General features: G+C 38.5%; 2 protein-coding genes across 22 annotated transcripts in view; one reads left to right on the top strand and one right to left on the bottom strand.

Moving 5' to 3' along the window:
• Positions 1-15,546, top strand: part of CLOCK (clock circadian regulator) — a 119,007-nt gene extending 103,461 nt beyond the window's left edge. For all 17 annotated transcript variants that reach the window (XM_011534410.3, XM_047416432.1, XM_047416436.1 and 14 more), the window contains 3 exons: positions 815-1,017; positions 4,912-5,167; positions 7,855-15,546. In XM_011534410.3, coding sequence (XP_011532712.1) covers positions 815-1,017; positions 4,912-5,167; positions 7,855-8,034 — 639 coding nt within the window. In that variant the 3' untranslated portion in view covers positions 8,035-15,546. The remainder of the gene's footprint in view (positions 1-814; positions 1,018-4,911; positions 5,168-7,854) is intronic.
• The window catches only part of TMEM165 (transmembrane protein 165), a 57,441-nt gene that overhangs the window by 9,949 nt on the left and 22,701 nt on the right, over positions 1-24,791 (bottom strand). For 4 of the 5 annotated variants that reach the window (NR_073070.2, XM_017008412.2, NM_018475.5 and 1 more), the window contains 2 exons: positions 18,806-18,911; positions 17,274-18,073 (listed from right to left, as the gene is read on the bottom strand). Coding sequence is in view for 4 of the 5 variants with exons in the window: in XM_017008412.2 (XP_016863901.1) it covers positions 17,997-18,073; positions 18,806-18,911 (183 nt within the window). In the remaining variant the exon portion in view is untranslated. Of the gene's footprint in view, positions 1-17,273; positions 18,074-18,805; positions 18,912-24,791 lie in introns of those variants that run through there. The other variant, XM_011534394.4, reaches the window with a different exon arrangement.

Here is a 24,791-nt window from a genome sequence, read left to right as displayed (position 1 = left end):
GGCTGGAGTGCAATGGCGTGACCTTAGATTACTGCAACCTCCGCCTCCTGGGTTGAAGCGATTCTCCTGCCCCAACCTCCCGAGTAGCTGGGATTATAGGCACCCACCACCATGCCAGGCTGATTTTCATATTTTTAGTAGAGATGGGGTTTCACCATGTTGGCCTGGCTGATCTCAAACTCCTGACCTCAGGTGATCGCCCACCTCAGCCTCCCAAAGTGCTGGGATTACAGGTGTGAGCCACTGCGCCTGGCTGAGCTTTAAAATATGTCACAATCTGTTTAAAGATGTAGTCTAGTAGTTATACCAAGTTCTTGTAACTTAGACTATTTCTGTGTTTAAAAGGTATGACTTGCTCAAGAGGCTGACCAGGAAGCCTGTTCCCATATGTGCAGAATAGACTGTTGGGGGAGGGGGCATAATGGTTTATTGAATATTCCAGAAAATGTTGGTAATTACTGTAGATCTGTGACTGTAAATCCCAAGGATTTAAATGAAAAATAGAAAAATGCCCACTAATTAGTCATTCACTTTGGGCATTTAACAGAAATTCTTTGAGTATATTTTATATCATCTCTATTACAATCACACTCCTTTCTAAAGTCATAGCTTGCCTTCCAGCAAGATATTCAAGACTAATTCATTCTCAGTTACCACGAGTCATTCCTTTGTGGTTATATTTCCCCCAGAGTAATATATCCTGCCACTTCTTTCTCTGTCATATTGTCATATTGTTAGAATGATGAATTCTAGCATACTTCCCAAATAATTATTTTCAGTTAATCTGTCTATAAAATCTCTTTATTTTTAACAGAGTCAACAAAATGTACTGAGTGGGCACAGTCAGCAAACATCTCTACCCAGTCAGACACAGAGCACTCTTACAGCCCCACTGTATAACACTATGGTGATTTCTCAGCCTGCAGCCGGAAGCATGGTCCAGATTCCATCTAGTATGCCACAAAACAGCACCCAGAGTGCTGCAGTAACTACATTCACTCAGGACAGGCAGATAAGGTAGTTGTCATATTTCATTTGTTATTTTTAAAATTGTAAACCGATTGATTAGAAAACAATAATTTGATTTCTTAATCAAATTTTTTAATGTGATTTTAATGAGATGCTCACTGCAGCCAATGTTCTTAAATTTGAAATAAAAACACTGAATGTATTCATTGTTTAAAGACTTCATAATTAAAGGGTAACAACAAATTTTTTTTCTTGTCCAAAAATATGCTACAAAATATTATAGAATACAAATTCTGCAGCACACTGTTAGAAAAGGTTTATGACAGGCTCTGTGTCACTGTGAAGCTTTTGTCTTTTCAATATAGATGCTAGAGAATTTCCATGTAGTAACAGTGGTTAGGGTAGCTTACCTTTTTTAAGTTTGTTAAATGCTCAAAATATATTATCTCAAATAGTCATTTATTAAAAGAAAATGTATGTGAGGGCCTCCTTTTATTTCCCAGATAAGAAAAAAGTGAGTTTTCAGTAATTAGCCAAGGGATCTATAGCTAGTTAAGGTGATGAGGAAGGGAACTCTGAACACAGACCTTGGTGTCTTCATTTCAGTGCTTGAGTGCTTAAGCATATATTACAGGAAGGTTTTGTGGACTGCTCTGGAAAAACAACCATCTATAACTTATTTTAGTGCACTGATCACCTGAGTAGTGCACATTCTATCCAATATGTAGTTTTTTATCCCTCACCCCCACCATCCTCCTCCAAAGTCTATTATATCACTCTGTATGCCTTTGCTGTACCCATAGCTTAGCTCCCACTTACAAGTGAGAATATATGGTGTTTGGTTTTCCATTCCTGAGTTACTTCACTTAGAATAATGGCCTCCAGCTCCATCCAAGTTGCTGCAAAATGCATTATTTTTTCTTTTTTTATGGCTGAGTAGTAGGCCATGGTGTATACATACCACATTTTCTTTCTCCACTCATTGGTTGATGGGCACTTAGGTTGATTCCATATCTTTGGAATTGTGAACTGTACTGCGATAGCCATATGTATGCAGGTGTCTTTTTGATACAGTGACTTCTTTTCCTTTGGGTAGATACCCAGTAGTGGGATTGCTGGATCAAATGGTAGATCTACTTTTAGTTCTTTGAGAAATCTCACGTTCCCACCAGCAGTGTGTAAGTGTTTTCACCACATCTGTGCCAACATTATTGTTTTTTGACTTTTTAGTAATGGCCAGTCTGGCTGGGTAAGGTGATATTTAATTGTGGTTTTAAGTTGAGTTTCCCTGAACATCTATCTTTTGAGGGGGACAGAAACCACATCTTAGCAAACATTTGAAGGCCTACCTAGATGAGTATGGCATCGTTCCTTCCCCAAGGGAAAGACCAAACTAGTAAAAGCAATAGAAAGATAAATCGGTATTGTTTGGGGTGATGAATACTTCAGAGGTCTTTAGAAAGGAGGAAGTGAGCAGTTTTTTGTTGTGTTGTGTTTTGTTTTGTTTTGTTTTTGTAAGCAGTTTCATGGGTTGAGGCAAGCAGGTGAATAAAGGTGTGGTCAGGAAAGCTTCACCAAGGCAGAGATACTTGCCCTGACTCTTCAAGACTTGAGCTTGGCTTTGGATGTGGGTGTGGCATGGAGTCTAGGGAGGCATTCTGGGCAGAGGGAGCCCAGAGTATACAAAGCTGCAGAAGTGTGAGTTACACGAAAGCAGATTAAAGAAAATATTCTTATCACATTTACCAGTGAGCCATGGGCTAATTCAGGTATTAATTTAAGATTATGGAGAAATCAGCACTTAGTACTTCTGTGACTAAGTGTACTTTGTAAATATTACTTATTTCTTTGGACTTTCTTAATATGGACAATTTTAATTCTTTTTTGTTTTGCATTAAAGTATTTGGTTGTGTAGTGTATAAAATAGAGTATTTTATTGTCAAGATCTGTACTAAGTGTAATATTGTTACATAAACAGTTTGTAAATACAGTTATGTCATGCCACATCTATGTTAGTGTCATATCTCACTGTAATGACCAATGTTATAAACTTCATCTCACAGAAAAGGCAAATGGAAATAATATTGTTCCACAAAGAAGCATCATTTTTTTGGGGTTATTGTTCTTTCATTTCAAAAAGCAAAAGGAAGCAGGGAAAGAGGGAAAAATTAATGAATTCTAGCACAGAGGACGCTATGCTGCGTTGATGAATTTATAAATTGAGAGGAGTTTTTATTCACTGTTAGAATGTCATTTGGTTTTGAATTAAATTTGTAAGCTACAATTTTGTGTAAATTTCTTCTATAAACCTAGAGTTTAAAAAATACATTATAATAGCTTTGTTTATTCATGAACTGTGTGCCAGTGTAGCAGATGAATCATGTGCCACATATATCTGACACCCCTAGTACCTAGTAATTTTATAAAAAGAAAAAGGTTTTTTTTTATAGATTAAAAAAAATTTTTATTGTGGAAAAATACAAATGACATAAAAGTTACCATGTTAACCGTTTTAAAATATACAGTTCATTGTCACTGAGTACGATTGTTACCATCTCCCCTAACCATTTCCAGAACTTTTTTCATCTTCCCAAACAGAAACTCCATACCCATTATACAAGTCCCCATTCTTCTCTCCCCAACCACCATTCTACTTTCTGTCCCTGTAAATTGGACTAGTCTAAGTACCTCATATAAATGGAATCATACAGTATTTGTCCTTTTGTGAATGGCTTATTTTACTTAGGATAATGTTCTCAGGGTTCATCCATGTTACAGCAATTGTCAGAATTTCTTTCCTTTTTAAGGCTAAGTAATATTCTACTCTACTATGTTTTGCTTATTCATTCCGTCTGTCAATGGAGTCTTGGGTTACTTCCACTTTTTGGCTCCTGTGAATAATGCTGCTTATGATTATGGGTGTACAAATATCTCTTTGAGTCCCTGCTTTCATTTTGGGGGGTTATATAAGCAGAAGTGGAATTCCTTCATATAGTAATCCTATAGTGAATTTTTTGAGGAACTGCATACTGTTTTCCATAGTGGCTGCACCATTTTTACATTCCCACCAGCACTGCACAAGGTTTCTCTACTTGCTTGCCAACACTGGTCATTTTCTATTGTTGTTTGTTTTTTATAATAGCCATCCTGATGGGTATAAAGTAGCCTCTTGTTGTGGTTTTGATTTGTATTTCCCTAATGATTAGTGATGTGGAGCACCTTTTCATGTGCTTATTAGCCATTTGTGTATCTTCTTTGGAGAAGTGTTTGTTCAAGTTTGACCTTTGCCCATTTTTTTAATTGGGTTGATTGTTGTTGAGTTGAAGGAGCTCTTAGACATTCTGGTTACTAATCCCTTATCAGAAGGATGATATGCAGATATTTTCTCCCATCTGTGGGATGGGACAGTTACCTTTTTACTCTGTTGATAGTGCCCTTTGATTCACAAGATTTTTAATTTGATACAGTCCAGTTTATCTGTTTATCTGTTCTTTTGTTGCCTGTACTTTTGGTATCATATCCAAGAAATTATTGCTAATTCCAGCTGCTAACTATTGCTAAATCCAATGTCATGAAGCTTTTCCCCTATGTTTTCTTCTAAGAGTTTTATAGCATTAGCTCTTATGTTTTGGTCTTTGGTCCATTTCAAGTTAATCTTTGTCTGTGATGTGAGGTAAGGATCTAACTTTATTCTTTTGAATGTGGATATCCAAAGACGTTTTGTATTTTTGTTACACATTGATCTTGCTGTATGAATTTTTTGTTTTACTGTTACACCAAAGGGAATCTTTTAAAATGAAACAAAGTAGGAATATACAGACCTTGAAAAACAAACTGGCAATGTCATTGGGTATTATCTTAGGTAAGTATTTACTCCACTGCGTTTTATGATGTATACCTTGTACTTTGGACTCCAATTTTTTTCCTTCTTTCTTCTAACAGATTTTCTCAAGGTCAACAACTTGTGACCAAATTAGTGACTGCTCCTGTAGCTTGTGGGGCAGTCATGGTACCTAGTACTATGCTTATGGGCCAGGTGGTGACTGCATATCCTACTTTTGCTACACAACAGCAACAGTCACAGACATTGTCAGTAACGCAGCAGCAGCAGCAGCAGAGCTCCCAGGAGCAGCAGCTCACTTCAGTTCAGCAACCATCTCAGGCTCAGCTGACCCAGCCACCGCAACAATTTTTACAGGTAATTCTCCCCATGGGGAAGCTGCTTCAAACTCATTTACTTTCATGTAATGAAATTAAGCATTAAGTGAACAGATTTGTGAGTGATGTGAAAAATTCACAAAAGCTTATTGTACAGTTTAAATCTCTACAAAGATAGAAAGCTTGTTCTGGTTGGCGATTTTTTTTCTTCCCTTGCTCAGTCGTTGGAAGACTTTAGACGTGCCATTGGGCATACCCAGTTATCAGAACTGCTGGACAGAGTGAGTGGCCTACTTCCTGCCCACCTGTTTTCTTAGTCTCTGGCTAGAGTTTCTGGAACTTAAGCAAGCACCTCTTTCCTCCTTTTTCTAGCCAACCATAAACTCTGCTCTGTACAGAGCAGGGATTTCTTTTTACTAGTATAGGTGTTACCTTAAATTATTTTGTTGAATTCAATCTTATTATAATTTTTCAGTTGTAAATTAATATCAGAGGAGAAATACCATGGAGGTGTAGTATATCTATGAGCTAAGTATATGTATAGCTAAGAACTTGGGCTGTAAAGTCTAGCTGCCTTGGGGTTGAGTCACTGCTGCACCACGTACTGCGTGACCTTTGGCAGGTTGCTTACTCTTGGTAAACGTCACGTGTAAAGTGGAGGTCATAATAATTGATACCTCATGGATTAATAGTGCTTGTAAATCACTGAATATAAGACAAGGCACATGGCTAGCTGTTATTTGTGACCGCTATATTGACAAATGTAATAGACACTTGGATTAGCCAAAATATAGACACAGATATCATTTAGTGAATCAGACAGGCTCTCCTTATCTATAGGATACAGAAGAAAGTCACTAGGCAAGATCCTCAGCAGAGAAATGTACAAAACCCTTATCTGGACCTCAGGATCCTCACTAGAAATCTACCTTTTCCCCTTCTGGCCTAGCTGGAGCAATTTTGAATGTAGGCTAGTCTGTATGTGTACTAGAGACCACTTCATCTAGGCTGGGCACTTATCATCAATTTCTGGGTTATATAACATGTGATGTGATTATTGTACTCTATATTCAGGCATAAATATAGTCTTAATTTGTCACCCTTTGTGTCCTGGTCCAAATATAATCCTTGTCTTTGTGATGTAGAAAACTAAAACAGGCTAGTTGCCTAAATATCTGAGAGTCATACAGTCTTTTAGACCTTAAGCCTATGCTGCAGACATAACTGGGGTAGCTACTATTACAAATAAAGAAATAACAACAATTTAAAACAAGTTCTAAATTATTATGTAGGGAAAATGTATCCAATGAGAATTAAGCATAAGCTAAAAAAAGGAGAGGACCTGCCTTAACATCTCAGTCTTCTAAGTATGTCAAGGAACAAAGGCCCTTAAAAGAATAAACATTCTCAAAAAAAAAAAAAAAAAAAAGGCATCCCAAAGACATAGGACCCACAAAGAAATAAGATAGGCAATACCCCTCATAAATACACTTGTATGTAGGTAATAAATACACAATTTGGCTTTTCTAAATTATGTAATACCTAGTTTTAAAACATGCTCCTGTTGTAATCTTATAAGGCTCATAAGTATCAAGTCTTTGCCTTACACAGCTTTTCCTAATAACAAAGAGAGAAAGAAAACTCTGAAGATCCTTGACAAAGTGTAGTAGTCTTTAAGGTTTGTCAGGGATTTGCTCTTTTGTGTGTGTGTTTGTGCATGTTTCTTTCATATACATTTGCAAAAATTGCCCACCACAGCTCCATTTTGAAATTAAGAACCCTGCATCAAGTTGTACTGTCAGTAATGGGGAAAGGACTTTCATTGTAAAAATTCACTTTCTTTCTGTTAACATTTTTTTGTATCTGAGAGTTTTACATTAATGAACAGCATGTCAGAAGTACAAATTTGGTGAAAGGAACAGAGGCTCATCTATTTGAGTCTTGCCCAGAGTCACACAGCTTACTTATGTAAATGGCAGAGCAAAACTCAAATGCAGGGCTTCTGTCTGCAAATCCTGTGCCTTTTTTCATTTTGTTTTGTTTGTCTGTCTTTATACCACACTGCTGCTTATCGGACCTAAGGCTGCAACTTTGCCTTCATATTTATGATGCTTTTAAATAATATTAATATTTAATCTTTATTAAGAACCCAATGTGGTAGGCACTGTTATTCCTATTTTCTAAAGAAAGAAACTGAGGCCCAGAGAAGTAAACAGCTTGACCAAGTCACACATGTGGTAAGTAGGGCAGCCCAAGTTTGAACCATTCAGTCTACCTCAGGGCCCACCACGCTCCTGGCCACTTAACTGTGCCGCTCTAACCAGCTGAGCGAACCTGTGTGCAGAAGGCATTGTCTGTCTGGCCTCAGAGTATTTGTTTTTCATATAGTCATAACTATGCTCAAATTTTGTAATTTAAAATATGGGTCTTTAGGACATAAAGTGAAAGAACGTGTGTGATTTGGCTCAAGATATAGATTGCTTTCTATACCATAAAATCTGTAGCTCAGATTCCTTTAAAAAATGAAACTCTCTCATACTTTCAGAAAGAGGGAAGGCCTCATAAGCATTTTCCAAATTAGAATTTTTAAACCAGAGAGTGAAAGTGATATGCATTATGTAGAATTTTAAGGATTTTGTCCCTATGGACAGGGGAGAGTGTGAGTAACTATTATGTGGGTGCCATAAAGGGAGTAAAGCAATGCTGCATAATCCATTTGTTTTTTAGACTTCTAGGTTGCTCCATGGGAATCCCTCAACTCAACTCATTCTCTCTGCTGCATTTCCTCTACAACAGAGCACCTTCCCTCAGTCACATCACCAGCAACATCAGTCTCAGCAACAGCAGCAACTCAGCCGGCACAGGACTGACAGCTTGCCCGACCCTTCCAAGGTTCAACCACAGTAGCACACGTGCTTCCTCTCTTGACATCAAGGGAGGAAGGGGATGGCCCATTAAGAGTTACTCAGATGACCTGAGGAAAGGAGGGAAAGTTCCAGCAGTTTCATGAGATGCAGTATTGAGTGTTCTAGTTCCTGGAATTAGTTGGCAGAGAAAATGCTGCCTAGTGCTACAGATGTACATTAAATACCAGCCAGCAGGAGGTGATCATAGGGGCATAGCCAGTTCTGACAGTGTTTTAGGTGCCTGGATATTTTTTGATGGAAAAAGAATATATTGCCAAATATTAAGAAGCTCAGCTATGAAATGACCTCCAGGGAATCAGAAAGGCACTAATGATGTTAGTAACTTTTAGTGGTTCTGTGCCTCTTATCAAGTGTTACAGAGGACATACCACTGCCATGTCAGGGGTTTGCTTACAGTGATGCCATGAAGACAGTCCAGTAGACTTGGTAGCGACCCCCTCCCCCAACCCCTCTCCCTTTTCAGATAATGATGGAACAGTAATTACTTTCAGAATGTTGTGTGGGTTCAAATTCTCTATGTACAGATGATGTAAAAATATGTATATGTCTAGATAAAAGGAGAGAAAGCAAAACATTTTGTATGCTGCATGAAAGCGTTATCTCTTCCTTACAGGTGTGAGCACCTTTCCTGAAATTCTGACACCATGTGCAAACTGATCCATCCTGTTTTTCCTTTTGTTTACAACACAGTAGTGTTCTGTTCACTTTTCCGGGGCACAAGTTTTTTTGTTCATACTTTGGCTGTGATGTCACAGTTTGTTCAGTGAGGTATGATGTGCTGCTGGGAATGGATTTTTTTTTTCAGGTTAAATTATTGATACAACAGGATTTTCAAGTTATTCAGAAATATCCCTCATTTCATTATTTTTCAATTATGTTTGAAAATAGGATTTGCACTGCTTTATTTTAGGTGGCTGGGAGTTTTGATTGCATATTTTGTTATAGTTCATAGTTGGAAATATTTGCGTAAATGGTTTTCAACAAGCCTGAAAGTAATTTCAAGAATGTTTCAGTTATAGAGGTAAAATTTGCACACAAAACATCTTAGGCACTTTTTAACATTCTCAATCATGGGAATTTTAACTTTTGGGATTTGTTGAAATCTTTTTTATTATCCTTCACAATTTCAATGCTTCTTTTAGTCAGAAATGATTCAGGGTTATTTGAGGGGAAAAAACCCCATAGTGCCTTGATTTTAATTCAGGTGATAACTCACCATCTTGAAGTCATTGTCCGGTTTCCGTAGCAGTTTTGAAACCTTAGTACCTTTTTAACAGCATGTGGGTGTCAGTGTCATTATTAGTCTCCTAATAAGTTCCTCTGAAGACTGCTATCAGTCTCTTGGACTGGAGGTACAAATAATTTAGAAATAAAAGATGATAACCTAACACTATCATAGTTATTAATGTGATCCTAAAATTGTTTCCTAAATCAGCATTTTTCTTTAGTCATTTAAGAATTTACCAGAAATATTTGCTCAATATGATCTTGATATTCCTACAAAGAAAAAAGAAGGGGTAGGGATTTGGCTATGCCTTCACTACAACATTAGAATATTGTAACTCACATGCCTTCTAAACGTGAACTAAGATTTCCTTTGGCAATATCATATTCTAAAAGTAATAAATTCCAATACAAGTTACATACATTTAAAAAACATTTTACAGATTTTATGGTACTAATGAAATTTACAGTGATAGAACAAAAGAGGATTAGTAGAAAATACATTATTAGAATATAAAAAATGTTATTACTGAGGAAAGGGAGGAGAGGACAAGTGTAATAAATCAAAATTGACCTCAAAAGAAAATGTGTAACAGAGTTGAGGTTGTTAAAACAGAAAAGGTTCTGAATAATGAAGATTAACCTAATGCAGAATTGCTAGGTAAAGAGGTCAGGGGAATGCTAAGCCAGTTCTTAAGACTTCTCTGTCCTCTGCTTTGCTGTTATCCTTAAGGCATATACTTTGTCTTTCTGCAGAAAATTCTACCTGGCTACAATTACTTTGAACATTAATGTTGAAAAAGAAAACAACCAAAGAAAATTGGTACTTACCCTTCTACAAAAGAAGTGTGACTAGATATCAATCAGTAATTAACATATCAAGGAGCTCTTCTAGCTAAATGACCATCCAGTAGAGATTTCCCACATTCCCATGAATATCAAGAATAGTTGTCAGAATATGTATGTACCTGAGCATATGTACACAGACAAGGGGGATGTTGTGGAATATGGCAATAGCATTGTTCTTCTCCCCTTTCAAATTGCCTTTCTTGACCTTATGCCATTCCATATATATCTGAGTTGTGCCTCATTTATTTATTGGCAATACCTAGTGATACGGATTTAGCTAACAAAAGATATGAAGAACTATTATATTGAGGCCTGTCCTCTACATACCACACTTAAAAGATGGTGAACTGTGAGTACTACTTAGGTTGACAGCAACAAAGCATAAGACAAGCCCCAGGTAAACGTCTAAACTGTTTACTCACATTGTCCTACTCCAGCCCCTTCAATTATTTCCCATCTCCACAAATAGTCGGGGGAAAAAATTAAAATTTTCCTTTATGATTCTTACTGTTCTTCGCAGCTCATCTTTTCCTGCTTAGAATTAACCATTGCTAATTTAAAGGAGCAGCTAGCTGCTTTTCTGTCAGTCTGAAGCGTAGTAGTGGAAGAGGTAGTAAGCACCAGCTGCCTCTTTGCTGCTTTGTTTTCCTCCTGATTCTCTTAAATTTGGGTTGCAAAGCTATCCCGCCCCCCACCCTGCCCCATGAAACTTGAGCATTCAAATGAAGATTCAGCAGTGTCTGTTCTTCATTTCTATAGCCAAAGCTGTTAGTTAAAATCCCAAATCTATAGCATTTAAAGATACCAAATAGAAACACCTTCCAGCTTTAAAAAAAAAAAAAAAAAAGTCTTCCCTCTGCTTTATTCTCACTTTCTTAAAAACACTTATTCTGGGTGGTACTTTTTAGGTAAGAAACTACTGAGTTTCAGGAAAAATGCTAGCTACTCTGCAGTTACCGTGCTTTGGACTTGCAGTTATCATAGTTTTGGGAGAGTCAGTATTGTTTAACAAATGCAAGTGAGAACTAGAAGGGTTAATAAAGTTGCTCCTTAGAGTGGTGTCAAACCAGAACCGAGACACTTAAAAAGTACTTCATTTTTTGAATGGAAAATATTGGAGAAAAGTATGGGAGATGCAGGTAGCATGTGAGTAAATACTACGGTCTAGCCTTCGAGCATCCCAAATTCCGGGGGTAACTTGACAGTGCTGTGCTCTCCTTTGTCATTTATATCTGGCTTAGGAATGGAATAGTAATAACAAGATGCCAGTGATTTGGAATAGTTTGTTATAGAACATTCAGTGCAAAATAGTGAAAATGTTTGGTCTTCAGAAGTGCTGTAGTTGTTGGTCATTGCCTTAAAGCAGTCTGCTTGACGCTAGGAGCACTGAAGCAGTCCAGCTCCATCAAGAGCACTGTTGAAGGGAGAAGAACCCTTGTTCAGGAAGCCTTAGAAAGGGATCCTTAAAATAGTACTCTACGCAGACAAGTGAAAATTCTTTTAAACTGGATATTACTCAACATGTTTTCAGATGTTTCCACTACATTGAGGCAAACTTTTTAAAAGTGGAATGCAAATAGCATTTTACTTTAGTATTTCTGCTTTTTTCTTTCTGTTTCTTTGGTAATTGAAAGTTTGTTGATGAATATTTGTGTAAAACGCATTCAAGTCTATAACCTTTCCAATTACCTGTGGCCCTTAGTCCCACAGGAGTCCCTGTTGGAAGGGGGTAAACACTGGATATTAATGTTGCTGAGTGAGTCTTTCTAGCCAGGACAAGCTGATTGGAATTTTTGAATGGTAGAGAAGAAACAGCACAAAGGCACTTGCCATTTTAAGTGTTTGGAGAAAGAGAACCTTTTAAGTTTGGATTGGGTGAGCTTTCTTCTAAAAGGAGCTTCTGAAGTAATTGCAAAGGAATAGAATCGACTATTTTTATAGTATATTTAATATATTTGTATATAACTATAATAGGAACCCTCTACATGCCTCCCACTTTTCTAATTTACTTCCCCTTTTGCCATAGCACTAGTATAGCCTCATCCGCATGGGTAATGTGCCTATTGTCAGCCTACCAAAAGATAGTGCTGCTGCTTTATGAGACAGGTGAGAAGACCCAACTCTCATGCCTGGGGATCCTTTACGGAAGGAATAGCACACACTTTTAAAACAACATACCACAGTCTAAAAGCATCATTTTGAAATGTAACAAGCACTTTATTGCAATTACTCATTTTGATAAAGTTTATTCTTAGGCGTTAACCATTTCTAAAGGATCCCCAAATCATCACTTACTTAGGTGAAATTATATAAAATGACACATTTCTGAGAAATGTTTAGGTCCAGTGAACCGTAGTTGGTTTATGGGAGTGATTTCAAGATAGCCAAATGAACTTTGATTTTTGTTTTGAATGTGGTGGAGTCAAGAGATTGTAGATGCCTAGTTTGATTTAAACACTATTGTAAACCTATCTTGCCTATTGTGTGGACACCAAAAGAGACCAATGAGCCTGTTTATTTTTCAGAGGTCTAGGAAAATTGCATCCGTGTGAGTAGATGTACAGAACTAATCTAAAAGTGATTGCTAGTAACATTTTAGAATATAATAATTTCAAGAATTATTCTGAGTGTTTTAAATGTGCCCTGAAATGTTGGCATGTCATTTCAGCATTTCCATTTGAATTGCTCTTGTAATATTTTTGCACAAAAAGGACTGAGAAAAAGAATACTTTGGTTAAAGGAAAAAAATAGTATAATTTGGTCTTTAATTTTAATGTCTCCTGTGGAAACACTGGGGATGAATTTTGTTGGCACAGTTATTCAGGATATTTAAAACAGTGTTGAACAGTTCACAAGAAATTAAGCAAACTTGGATTTTAAAAATTAAAATACTTTCTTTCCATGTGACTGTTTTGCATAGTTTTTTCCCCCTATGTCATAACACTACATTCCTTGTTTTTCTTAAATAAAATACTCTGCAGGTTTTGTTGTGAGTGTTTATAACAGTATTTTGTAAGCTGCCTGGGTTTCCTCAGGGAAACATTATTTAGTGGAATAGGATATAGTTTATGGAGAGACAACTAAGTGAAATTCCATCACCACCACCAGCAAACACTGAGGTGCTGCATTAAGTGACAATCAAACTAGTAAGTATTTATGAAAGAATTTAGAAAGGGGTTCAAAGAAGCAATTGCTTTTAAAGCAGTTCTCTGGGGTTCTTGAATAAAAATGGCTAAATGTATTTATTTATATTTTAAAATACCTGTGTGTTCTGTTTTCTCATCAAAGTGATTTCGGTGTCATGTATTTAATGTGTGGTTTGTTTTGTTTTGCACCATATTCTTCTTAGGGAACTGGCTCTGATTTGGGGTGCAGTCACCAACTCTCATGATAATCTTTACGGACAGTCTGAATCTACTTTACTTCAGGACGGCAGTGGAGGGGCCAACTCCAGATGCCCCTGCACTTCCCTCCTCAAGTCATCTAAGAAAGAATTTTAGAAATAACTCCTTTCAAATCTGATTCATACAGTTCCAACCTTTTTCTAGTTTCACTTGCTGCCTTCTTTGTTTTATGGGCACTTTTTGTGTGATTACTTCCCCAACACAGTCAAAGGCCAGTATGACAGAACCAATGGCACATGATGCCTCTATTTTGCCCATTTGGGGAAATGTTAGTAAAAGAAATAGCATCTTTTAATGGCTGTCATTATCATATCCATATTAAAATCCATTTAAAGTTCTTAAATTTGGCGGAATAATGTATACAGGCTGTAAACTTCTACAAAAAATGTTTGCTGTCTTTAATATGGTGTCAAGTTACTTGGTCCTTTGAAAACAAAACAAAACTTCCATACACAGCACTGCCCAGTAAAGCAGTGTTGGAATATTGGAAACCTAGACATTTGAGGATCCTTCTTGCTCACAAGCATTGGAACAGAATCCTCCACTTTAGGACTCAGAGAAGCTATGGAGTCCCACAGGCTAGGTATAGCACACAACTTAGAGAACGGTAGTTAAAGCACGTCAACCACAATTGAATTTAATGATCTAAAAAATATTTCTTAACTCTGAGGGTTAAACTGAAGATACGTTTTCAAATAAAAGCTTTTAAATTTCTTAGGAAACAAACTGTGACATCGCTTTTAAAAATGACATTCAAATGTTTATAATGTGTGTTTTTGAGTTGGCTTGGACTAGTGCAAGTTCACTGCTGGCAATGGTTATGCCAGTAGTTAAGTTAAAATAAGTTGTTACCTTCAGATTGATGTCTTGTATAACCAGACAATCATCTTCAAGCAAAAAAATTGGCCAGGAAATGTCTTTTTAAAAAAAAAAAAAAAAAAAAAGATGTGTCAGCCAGAACAGTTACCATTCAGACCATACTGGAATGATTTTGAAATCTTTACTATGGTTTAAGTTGGGGAAGGCCTCAGTATGGCATTTTCATATTCACTCTATGTAAAGATTGAAGCCCAAAGATGAGTTAAATTCAGTGCTGTATTGAAACCAGTCAGTGCAAAAAAAAAAAAAAAGTTTTACCTTTGTAAATTTTTCATTGTTAACATCAGTTGGTAGTTGTTAAAACATGCACCAAATTCTTTATAATGTTCTGTGTGGTTCTCAATGTGATATTCTTGACATTGCTGTCCTTACTGCTTGGTTCTTGGTTTTAAATTAAAAAGTAGATGTAGCTCATCATTTTTACTTCCAAAACGGTGGAGCTAAAAACGGCTAATTGATCTTGAGATAAGAATACCCTTTACTAAGGCAAAGATTTAATTGAAATCCAAAATGATTTATAGAAACGAAAGGCATTTTCCATTTGTTGTCTTCTGCCGAAATTCTGAATTGCATACACACATGAAGGATAATGAATGGTTTCAACGGTGCTATATTAGGTTCTCTGATTTTCATGACCTATGTATGTTTGGAAATACAATATTGTATAAAATGTGGATCGTTTTGTTACCGATTTAATATTGCCATTTTAATTTGGTGTAACAATTGGTTACACTTGTTTTTCAAAGCTATCCTTTGAGGAGAAAGTCAAAATGTGTTGTTAGCCTACCTCCACTCAGGCCTCTTGCTGTGTAATCATTATTCCAGGTTATGATGTGCATAGCTTTTAAAACTGCGTGTACTATTATTCTGCTCTTTCCCATACTCTTGTCATGTATTCAGAACCTAAACTTATAGCAAAAGAGCCAAGCAGTAGCAGTTTTTGTAAATGTAAAAATAATTAGATCCAGACTTTGTTTCCTTCAATTTTAAAAATAAAAAATACCTCAGTGCTATGTTTTTCAGTTATCACCTGCATTTCTCAAAAAATAACACCTGCTTCATGTGGCACATAACTTGTAAGAATCACATTTTGGATTTTAAAGAAAGACTATTAAATATTTTAAGATCACTATCAATGACATTTCCCTTTCTTTTATTCAACAATGGAGCCTATTGCAGTAGCGATTTTTACCTTATAGCTTAGGTCTGACTTACCAAAAATTCTCAGAGGAATTATGTCCTGCTACAAGATTGTGGTGCCTCAGAATGCGATGCTGTTCTTATTCGCATATGAAGCTAGTAATGGGACCAAGCTACCTGAACTGAGGTTACACGATGATGGTGCCAGCTACTCCCTACGAGGAATTGTCTTTTCTGTTGTTATTAGAAAAAACGGTTGGGTGCGGTGGCTCACGCCTGTAATCCTAGCACTTTGGGAGGCTGAGGTGGGTGGATCACCTAAGGTCATGAGTTCAAGACCAGCCTGGCCAACATGGTAAAACCCTGTCTCTACTGAAAATACAAAAAAATTAGCCAGGCGTGGTGGCGGGCACCTATAATCCCTGCAACTTGGGAGGCTGAGGCAGGAGAACTGCTTGAACTCAGGAGGCAGAGGTTGCAGTGAGCCGAGATTGCGCCACTGCATTCCAGCCCAGGTGACAGAGTGAGATAGATTGTCTCCAAACAAACAAAACGTATTAGTAGGCCAAGCATGGTGGCTCACGCCTGTAATCCCAGCGCTTTGGGAGGCTGAGGTGGGCGGATCATAAGGTCAGGAGTTCGAGACCAGCCTGGCCAGCATGGCGAAACTCCATCATCTCTACTAAAAATACAAAAAATTAGCCAGGCGTGGTAGTGCACGCCTGTAATCCCAGCTACTCGGGAGGCTGAGGCAGGAGAACTGCTTGAACCCGGGCGGTGGAGGTTGCAGTGAGCCAAGATCACACCACTGCACTCCAGCCTGGGCGACAGAGTGAGACTCTCTCAAAAAAAAAAAAAAAAATACTAGTGAGAATTCCTCACTCTTTCTTTATAACAAACAAACAATCTAAGGCAATATAGACTGTCTAACCACAGAGTTTATCTTAATCCACAGACATTGTTTTCTACCCTTTGATACTTCCTATAGCAGAAAACTACAAATATGACCTTTTTTACCAACATGTGCTACTTCTAACTTGGCATTTAAGCTGAAAACTCCTCTTAAGATCTCCACAGTAGTAGCTATCATCTTCCTCACAGAGTTACCATGTAGGACAATTGCTGCATCCTACAGTGCTGGATGATTAACTGGGTTCTTTCACAATCTCTTCAAATTGCAGACTACATTGTGGACCTTTGTAGTAGCTCATAAACCTGAATTGCTCTGGGTCTCCTATTATACCTCACACAAATAACATGGATGTTTCTGTAGAATTGTCCTTCAATTTAGTGAGGCTATTAATGGGAATGTTACTGCATATGATTCTAGAATATAAAAGGCTGAGAGAAAGCAGCTGTTATGCTACTTGGGTGAAGTAGTAGTCAAATCAAAATATACTCAAACGAGGGTGACGACTGAAGTTGCCATGAAAAAATGAGGTAGTCTTAGCATAATGAATGACATTAGGCTCTGGAATTAAACCGCCTGGTGTGACTCTACCATGTAACCTTGGGTGAGTTAGTTTTTTTCTTTTTTAACCTTATATTAGTACCTACTACCTCACAGAACTGTAAGGGTGACAATGCTTTCGAACAATGCCTGGCTCCTGTTTAGCTACTTTAGGCATATCTCAAATATTTAATATGTTAGTGTTTTTACATCAGCTTTAGAAATTGGCCTATCAATACTGATAATTTTATATGACACACAAGGAAAAACAAGCACTGGTCATACCACTTTTATTTATATTGTTATCTATGTTACATTGTTTATTCAATATAGAAAAAATATGAATACATTCATAGTATTCTCTTTTAATTTGGTAATTCCACATTGTCAAATATTGACTGTTTTTATATTGGGTGTCCTACCCAATTAAAAAAAAAAGAGGAAGAATGACCTGGCAGACAGTTCTTGTTGTGCCATGTTATTGATATAACAGCAATATCATATATGTCTCTTTTTTTAAACACCTAGTTTTGAAAAGACCAATGATTAAACTACTGTTTACTGGCTCAGGGAAATGTTTTAAGAAATAGAAATTAATTCATTCTTTCCCCAAGAAAAACTTTAAGGTAAACATCTTAAAACACCTAAGTGATGAAGGAGAAAATTTGTATTCCTTAAAAAGGGGTCAGTGCTGAAAGAAAATTGCATGGTAGACCCCACTGCACAACGGTTCTGCACCAAAAGAAAAATGAGGACCATATTAACATAATTATGTTGGAGAGAAGAAAAACCCACACTTAGAAGTCAGGTTTCTTTTAAAACTCCTTGTTACAAATAGAATCAATGATTATATCTCAGACATAATAATGGGTCAAACTCACAAAATCAGTGCTACAAAATACAGTATTTTTCCATCACTTTTAGTTGTAATGTACACTATGTACAGAAAGATAATACTACCTATTTTAAACTAAATATAGATGAACAAACAGCTTGTTAAAAACCAGAATCAGGGCTTATAAATAGTGCAGAAAATGCAAACGCCAAAAAAACGATGCCTCCTATGATTGTCACTGGAAGAGAGAGAAAAAAAGTCAAATACAGTAAAATTCCTATACCTTGATACTGTACAAAATGAAAAGGGAGCCGATGAGGCGGCCAATTATTCTTCCAATCTATTAAACTAACCTTGAAAACAAATTAGAATCACTTCAACCCCTTTTACATAACAAGGAACAATACTTAACATGCTTGACTGTGAACACTAAGAATCAGGTTTTCTCCAGCACTGTTTTGAGAAATGACAGGATTGTATTAAATCCAGACAGTGCTGGCAAGCAACAGTAGAACTATAACTCATCTTAAAATCCAGTTATAAAAGAAAATGTTCAGGTCTTCTGACTAGCAAAGAGACGATTCTTCCATCTCTAGACCTAACTGTGGCTTCACAGGACATATTCAGCAGAATCAGTACATATGGTCTCCACATGATTCCAGTCTTGTAAGACACATTTTTAGAGCCAAAAACTTCTCATACTTCCAAATGACAATTGTTTTACTAAGATAATATGTTAACAAGAAGCTACTATGAATTCGATAAAAATGACTTTGTATTTTGCTAACTTCTACACAGGTGAAAAAAGTCCGTATTTGCAATACCAGGATTAATACCTCTATAAGAGATGGTAGGTAATTAGAAAAACCAAGTATACTTCAGCAGCAGAAATTTAAATAATCAAAGCTAACACCCTTTAATCTCTCAGTGATTCTAAAATGTTATCTGATTTGTAATTTTCAAGACTTACCAGTTCTGACAGAGATTTTCTGTGCTATCATTCTTCCTCCAATTACTGCCAATCCCGTGCACAGGCAGTGCCCCACAGTTCCACCCACGGCTACACCATAGGGGTCCTGGAAGCAAGCGTCACAGCATTAATTCAAAACCAAGGTGACAACTGCTGCTTGAGAACCATAACAATTCAGAAGCACTAAAAATGGTGGCCAACAATTAAAAAGCATAATAGTTATAAAAATGCAGGTGTATAATAAATTTATGAGAGGTGTAATGGCTGCTTGAAGGAATATGTACCAGTTATACTTAAGACTAGACCTAAAAGTTGAAATAACCCAAATCAATTTGTAAAGTCAAACAAATCCTGATGAAATAAAGCTAATCGAACCTTTCAGCAGTTATTAAACTTCCTTCACAGGCAATACGTAGCACTGCTATGACAAGTGCTAGGGAGGATTTTAAGCTAGACATCTGTTCCCTCAGATACTGCTTGGTATTAGGAGAAACTCAGTCAATCCTTCACAGAATAGTATGCCTCTGCTTCCTGGGAACAGAAACCCTGCCTCAGTGCCAGGAATCAAGGATTTATCCAGTGAACACATGTTACCTGAGCAAAGCAGACACTCAGATTAGGGGGAGAGGGGTATGTAGTAAAAGTTTCCCAGAAGATAGTCCTGAAGAATGAACAGGGCATAGTGAGAATGTGATTTTGTTTTGTGGGAGAAGGAACATGCTAAATAGAAAGCAAAGGCCAGCAGTACCAGACAACCAGCTGCAGAGCCCTTCAGCATTTCACAAAAGGAGGTCATGAGGGTAGGTGGGAGTCCAGGTGAGGGAGGACCCTATCATCTTGGAGTTTAAACTGTGTCCTCAGACACTTGTTGGTTTTTAGCTGGAAAGTAACAGAACAGATTAATGCTTCAGAAATCCGCTAGGCCAGGTGCAGTGGCTCATGCCTGTAATCCCAACACTTTGGGAGGCTGAAGCAAGAGGATTGCTTGAGCCTGGCAGTTTGAGACTAGCCTAGGCAACACAGTGAGACCTTGTCTCTACAAAAAAATTAAAAATTAGCCAGGCATCCTAGCAAGCACAAGTGGTCCCAGCTACTCGGGAGGCTGAGGTGGGAGGATCATTTGAGCCCAGGAGGTCGTGGCTGCAGTGAGCTATGATTGTTCTCCATCCTGGGCAACAGAGCAAGACCCTATCTCAAAAATTTTTTAAAGTCTAGTGGAGAGAAAGAACCAGAGGGGAACAAGACTGAAGGAAGGGTGATCCACTGCGATGCTATGGCAACAGCCCTGGGAAGAAACTGCGTTGCCCCAGATCGGGGCAGATGACTGTAGGCAAAGAGCAGGTGAATTTGAGAGAAATTAAGAAGGCAAAATTAACATACCTCCATGATAAATGAATGATAGGCTTTATGGAAAAATATCAGAGCCAAGCAGAGTGGAGCCAGCCACTCAGGAGGCTAAGGCAGAAGGATCACTTGAGGCCAGGAGTTCAAGGCTAGCCTGAGCAGTACAGCGAGATCCCGTCTCTTAAAAATAAAATAATGGTGCAGTGGTTCATGCATGTAGTTCCAGCTATTCAGGAGGCTGAGGTGAGAGGATCACTTGAGCCTGAGTTTGAAGCTACAGTGAGTTATGATCACACTACTATGCTACAAATTCCATCCTGGGTGACAAAGCAAGACTCCATCTCTTATTAAAAAAAGAAAAATAGGCTGGGTGCAGTGGCTCACGCCTGTAATGCCAGCACTTTGGGAGGCCGAGGAGGGTGGATCACGAGGTCAGGAGACTGAAACATGGTGAAATGCTGTCTCTACTAAAAATACAAAAAATTAGCCGGGTGTGGTGGCAGGCACCTGTAGTCCCAACTACTGGGCAGGCTGAGGCAGGAGAATTGGCTTGAATCCAGGAGGCTGAGGTTGCAGTGAGCTGAGATCGTGCCACTGCACTCCACCCTGGGTGACAGAGTGAGACTCCATCTCAAAAAAAAAATAAATAAATAAAGCATGACACCCAAGTTTCTCTCCCACAATTGATGAACTATGTATGGTAAGACCAATGTGATTTTTAAAGTTAAGAGTCAGTTGAATCAGGGTGGGTGGATGGTTCACACATGTAATCTCACCACTTTGGGAGGCCGAGGCAGGCAGATCACCTGAGGTTGGGAGTTTGAGACCAACCTGGACAACATGGTGAAACCCCATCTTTACTAAAAATACAAAAACTAGCCAGACTTGGTGGCACATGTCTCTAATCCTAGCTACTCGGGAGGCTGAGGCAGAAGAATCGCTTGGACCCAGGAAGCAGAGGTTGCAGCAAGCCAAGATTGTGCCACTGTACTCCAGCCTGGGTGACAGAGCAAGACTCTCAAAAAAAAGAGTCAATAAACCTGTTACAGAGAAAGCAGAAAGAGAAGAATGTTGATAGCATAATCATGAGGGACAAAGGCAGCATTCAAGGAAGGACAGAGAAAGAAGGGTCCACAGGAGAAAGCAAGTGAGGTGGCCAGCCAATCACCTCCTGTAAGGACCAACGGAGGCATCATGCAAGGCCACAGGGAGCTCAAAGCACAACAACATTCCTGGTGAGGCCAGAAACTGGGTTCCCATGGGCTAAGTATGCAAGGAGAACAGAGCCAAGGCTTATTCCCATCACAGCCAAGTCCTCTGACACTGCAGGAGGGCAAGAGTTGGATTTGCGATGTACAATTGAGAAAAGGGGCTTTTTTTTTTTCTTTTTAAAGGATGAGAAAAAATTGGTACACACGAACAATGCTCACAAAACGGCTGGGAGAAAGGCAAAATCTAAGCATATTATAAGGGTGGGATTCAGAATACAGGAGGGCAGAGGGGGCTGCCACTGTGATGGGTGGGAATGAAGAAAGGGAACTGCTACTGCTCTGAAGGAGAAGGGAAAGCCCGCTGTCGGGCAGTGTGTGTGCAGAGACAGGAAACTGGCTGAAGCATCCACTGTGAAGAATGGAAGACTGGGACTACATTTCCCAAATTCTACTTGTGTATTATAAACTGCTACCCATGAAGATGGTTCTATTTGAAAGTAATATTTAGGCCGGGCGTAATCTCAGCACTTTGGGAGGCCAAGGTGGTCAGATTGCATGAACTCAGGAGTTCGAGACCAGCCTCTGCAACATGGCAAAACCCTGTCTCTACAAAAAATACAAAATTAGCCAGGCATGGTGGTGGGAACCTGTAGTCCCAGACTCAGAAGGCTGAGGTGGGAGGATGGCTTGAGCCCAGGAGGTGGAGGTTGAGGTGAGCTGAGATTGTGCCACTGCACTCCAGCCTGGTTGACAGAGCCAGACCCTGTCTCAAAAAAAAAAAAAAAAAAAAAGAAAGAAAGAAAATATTTAAAAATTCACTAGATTAAGTAAAATAAACTAGTATTTAACTAGTTCCTTTAATATAGGACTTTCCAGTCTTTATTTGTATACTGAGTCGTCTTTTTTTTTTTTTTTTTTTTTTGAGATGGAATCTAGCTCTGTCGACCAGAGTGGAGTGCAGTGGCGCGATCTCGGCTCACCCGGGTTCAAGAGATTCTCCTGTCTCAGCCTCCCGAGTAGCTGGGACTACAGGCGTGGGCCACCATGCCTGGATAATTTTTGTATTTTTCACCATGTTGGCCAGGCTGGTCTCGAGCTCCTGACCTCAGGTGATTTGCCTGCCTCAGCCTCCCAAAGTGCTGGGATTAAACGCGTGAGCCACCACACCTGGCCCAAGTCTTAAAAAGAAAAAACAAAACGACAGGGATATATTATTTGCCAAATTTGACTCTGAATTTCTTCCTTCCCCCTCACCCTTTTTTGGCCTAGAACCAATTCAAGTCTCAAAGGACACTAGGATTATGTGAAATCCAATTTGGGAACATTAAATCATGTTGGAAGCAAAGATAAAACTGCATACTAAAATGGCCTGAACTAGACAACTGCATGGTTCATAAGAAAAATTACCAACAAAAATAGGAATACTAAGGGAACAGGAAAAGACACAACATTTCTGCCATTTAAGAGCTCATTAAATATCCCCGCAGGGCAGTTAGTATGGAAGTGTGGCTAACACTGAATGTGCCATGTGGGGGACCATGCTAGATACCCTGCGTGTGTTATTTCATCTGCAAACCGATCCACAAAGCAGGTAATCCCCATTTTTGGATGAGAAAATGCAGGGAAGTGCAGTAATGTGATTTTACAGCAAGAGACTCAAAACCCAGTCAGCACGTGCCATACTGCTAGAATGGACCAGGGTGTCTCGTAGGTAGGGAGCCTCAAGCCTTTCACACGTCACTCTATGGCATAGAGTCTATGCCACAGAGTAGAGAGAAAAACGCAGTGATTCTGCTGTCATGATAACTCACCCTGGTAGAATCACTACCACCTCAACAAAATGGTTACTTACTATTGAGTCCCAACTCTGGCAATCTGAGAGCCAATAAAAGGCTAGAAATCAAGAAGAATATAGGGTACAGCCATTAAATAAATAAATAAAATAAATAAATAAATAAATATATATGTATATATATATATATTTTTTTTTCTTAAGATAGTGTCTCACTCTGTCACCTAGGCTGGAGAGCAGTGGCACCATCTCGGCTCACTGCAACCTCTGCCTCCCGGTTTCAAGTGATTCTCCTGCCTCAGCCTCTCTAGCAGCTAGGATTACAGGCACCCGCTACCACGCCCAGCTAATTAAAGTGATATTTTTAAAGAAAGTTTGTTTTATGAGAATCAAATGAAAATCAGAGTTCCATTTTTTTTCCCCAAAATACAGCATTTTTGAGGCTTCCCTGACAAAATAGCCTTTCCCATCTATCTTAGTCCTGGCCTTCAACTGTCTTGTATTTTAAACCACAGCCTATAATTAAAGAACTTGTTCTTTTATGATAGTTCCAAGGAATTAGAAACAATTTTACTCTTATAAAAAGAGAATCTGATATAAACACAGATAAGAAATAGTATCAGTTAAGATGAAAAAGAGGTTGAAAAGTGGCAGCAGTATTCCATTCCACAACCGTCTCCACATGAAATCTTAATAAATCTGTGTGAACAATGACAGGCGCCTCATATAAAACCTTGCTATTCCCATCAAAAGAAAAATTAAAAAATAAAAAACCAATGGGCATGTTTTAAATAAGTGGCATTGAACAACTGTGAAGAAGGCCACAGCCAGCCAGCTTACTCCCTCACACAAGTCACCCGATCTCTCTGGGGGTCAGGTTCTTCATCTGAAGAGTAAAAGCTACAAGATGAGCTGAGGTCTCTAGCTTCCCACTCCAGAACTTAGGATTCTTGGGCTAAGACTTTTTGAACAAAAAGTTCCTACACAGAAACAAACAAGTCACCTAGGCCAGAGCAGTGACTCTCGCCTATAATCCCAGAAGGATTATTTGCGAGGCTGAGGCAGGAAGTTTCAGGCCAGGGGTTCAAAACTGGCTGGACAACATGGTGAGACCCCACCCCTACCAAAAAGTAAATAAATAAATTACCCATAATAGCAGTACGCAACGATAGATAAGCACTGAAATAAAAATAATGTTTTTATTTCCTTAAGTCTTTTTTGTTCTTTTTATATATTATTTATTTAATTTTTTGAGATAGCATCTCACTCTGCTGCCCAGGCTGGAGTGCAGTGGTGCAATCTAGGCTCACTGCAACCTCTGCCTCCCCGGTTCAATCAATTCTCCTGCCTCAGTCTCCTGAGTAGCTAAGATTACAGGCATGAGCCACCTTGCCCGGCTAATTTTTGTATTTTTAGTAGTAGGGGTTTCTCCATGCTGGTCAGGCTGGTCTCAAACTCCTGACCTCAGGTGATCCGCCCACCTTGGCCTCCTAAAGTGCTGGGATTACAGGCGTGAGGGACGGCACCCGGCCTTCTTTTTATATTTTAAAAGTAAACCTCCTTTTAAAATTTTTCCATGTCACTGAAATGATGTTGAAGAGTGAATATTCTAAGAGCTACACAGAGATTTGTAAACAGC

Source organism: Homo sapiens, chromosome 4 (assembly GCF_000001405.40).
Source record: "Homo sapiens chromosome 4, GRCh38.p14 Primary Assembly".
In the NCBI taxonomy this organism is placed as follows: Eukaryota; Metazoa; Chordata; class Mammalia; order Primates; family Hominidae; genus Homo; species Homo sapiens.
Note: the sequence above shows the minus strand (reverse complement) of the source record. Positions and strands in the feature narration are given on the sequence as shown.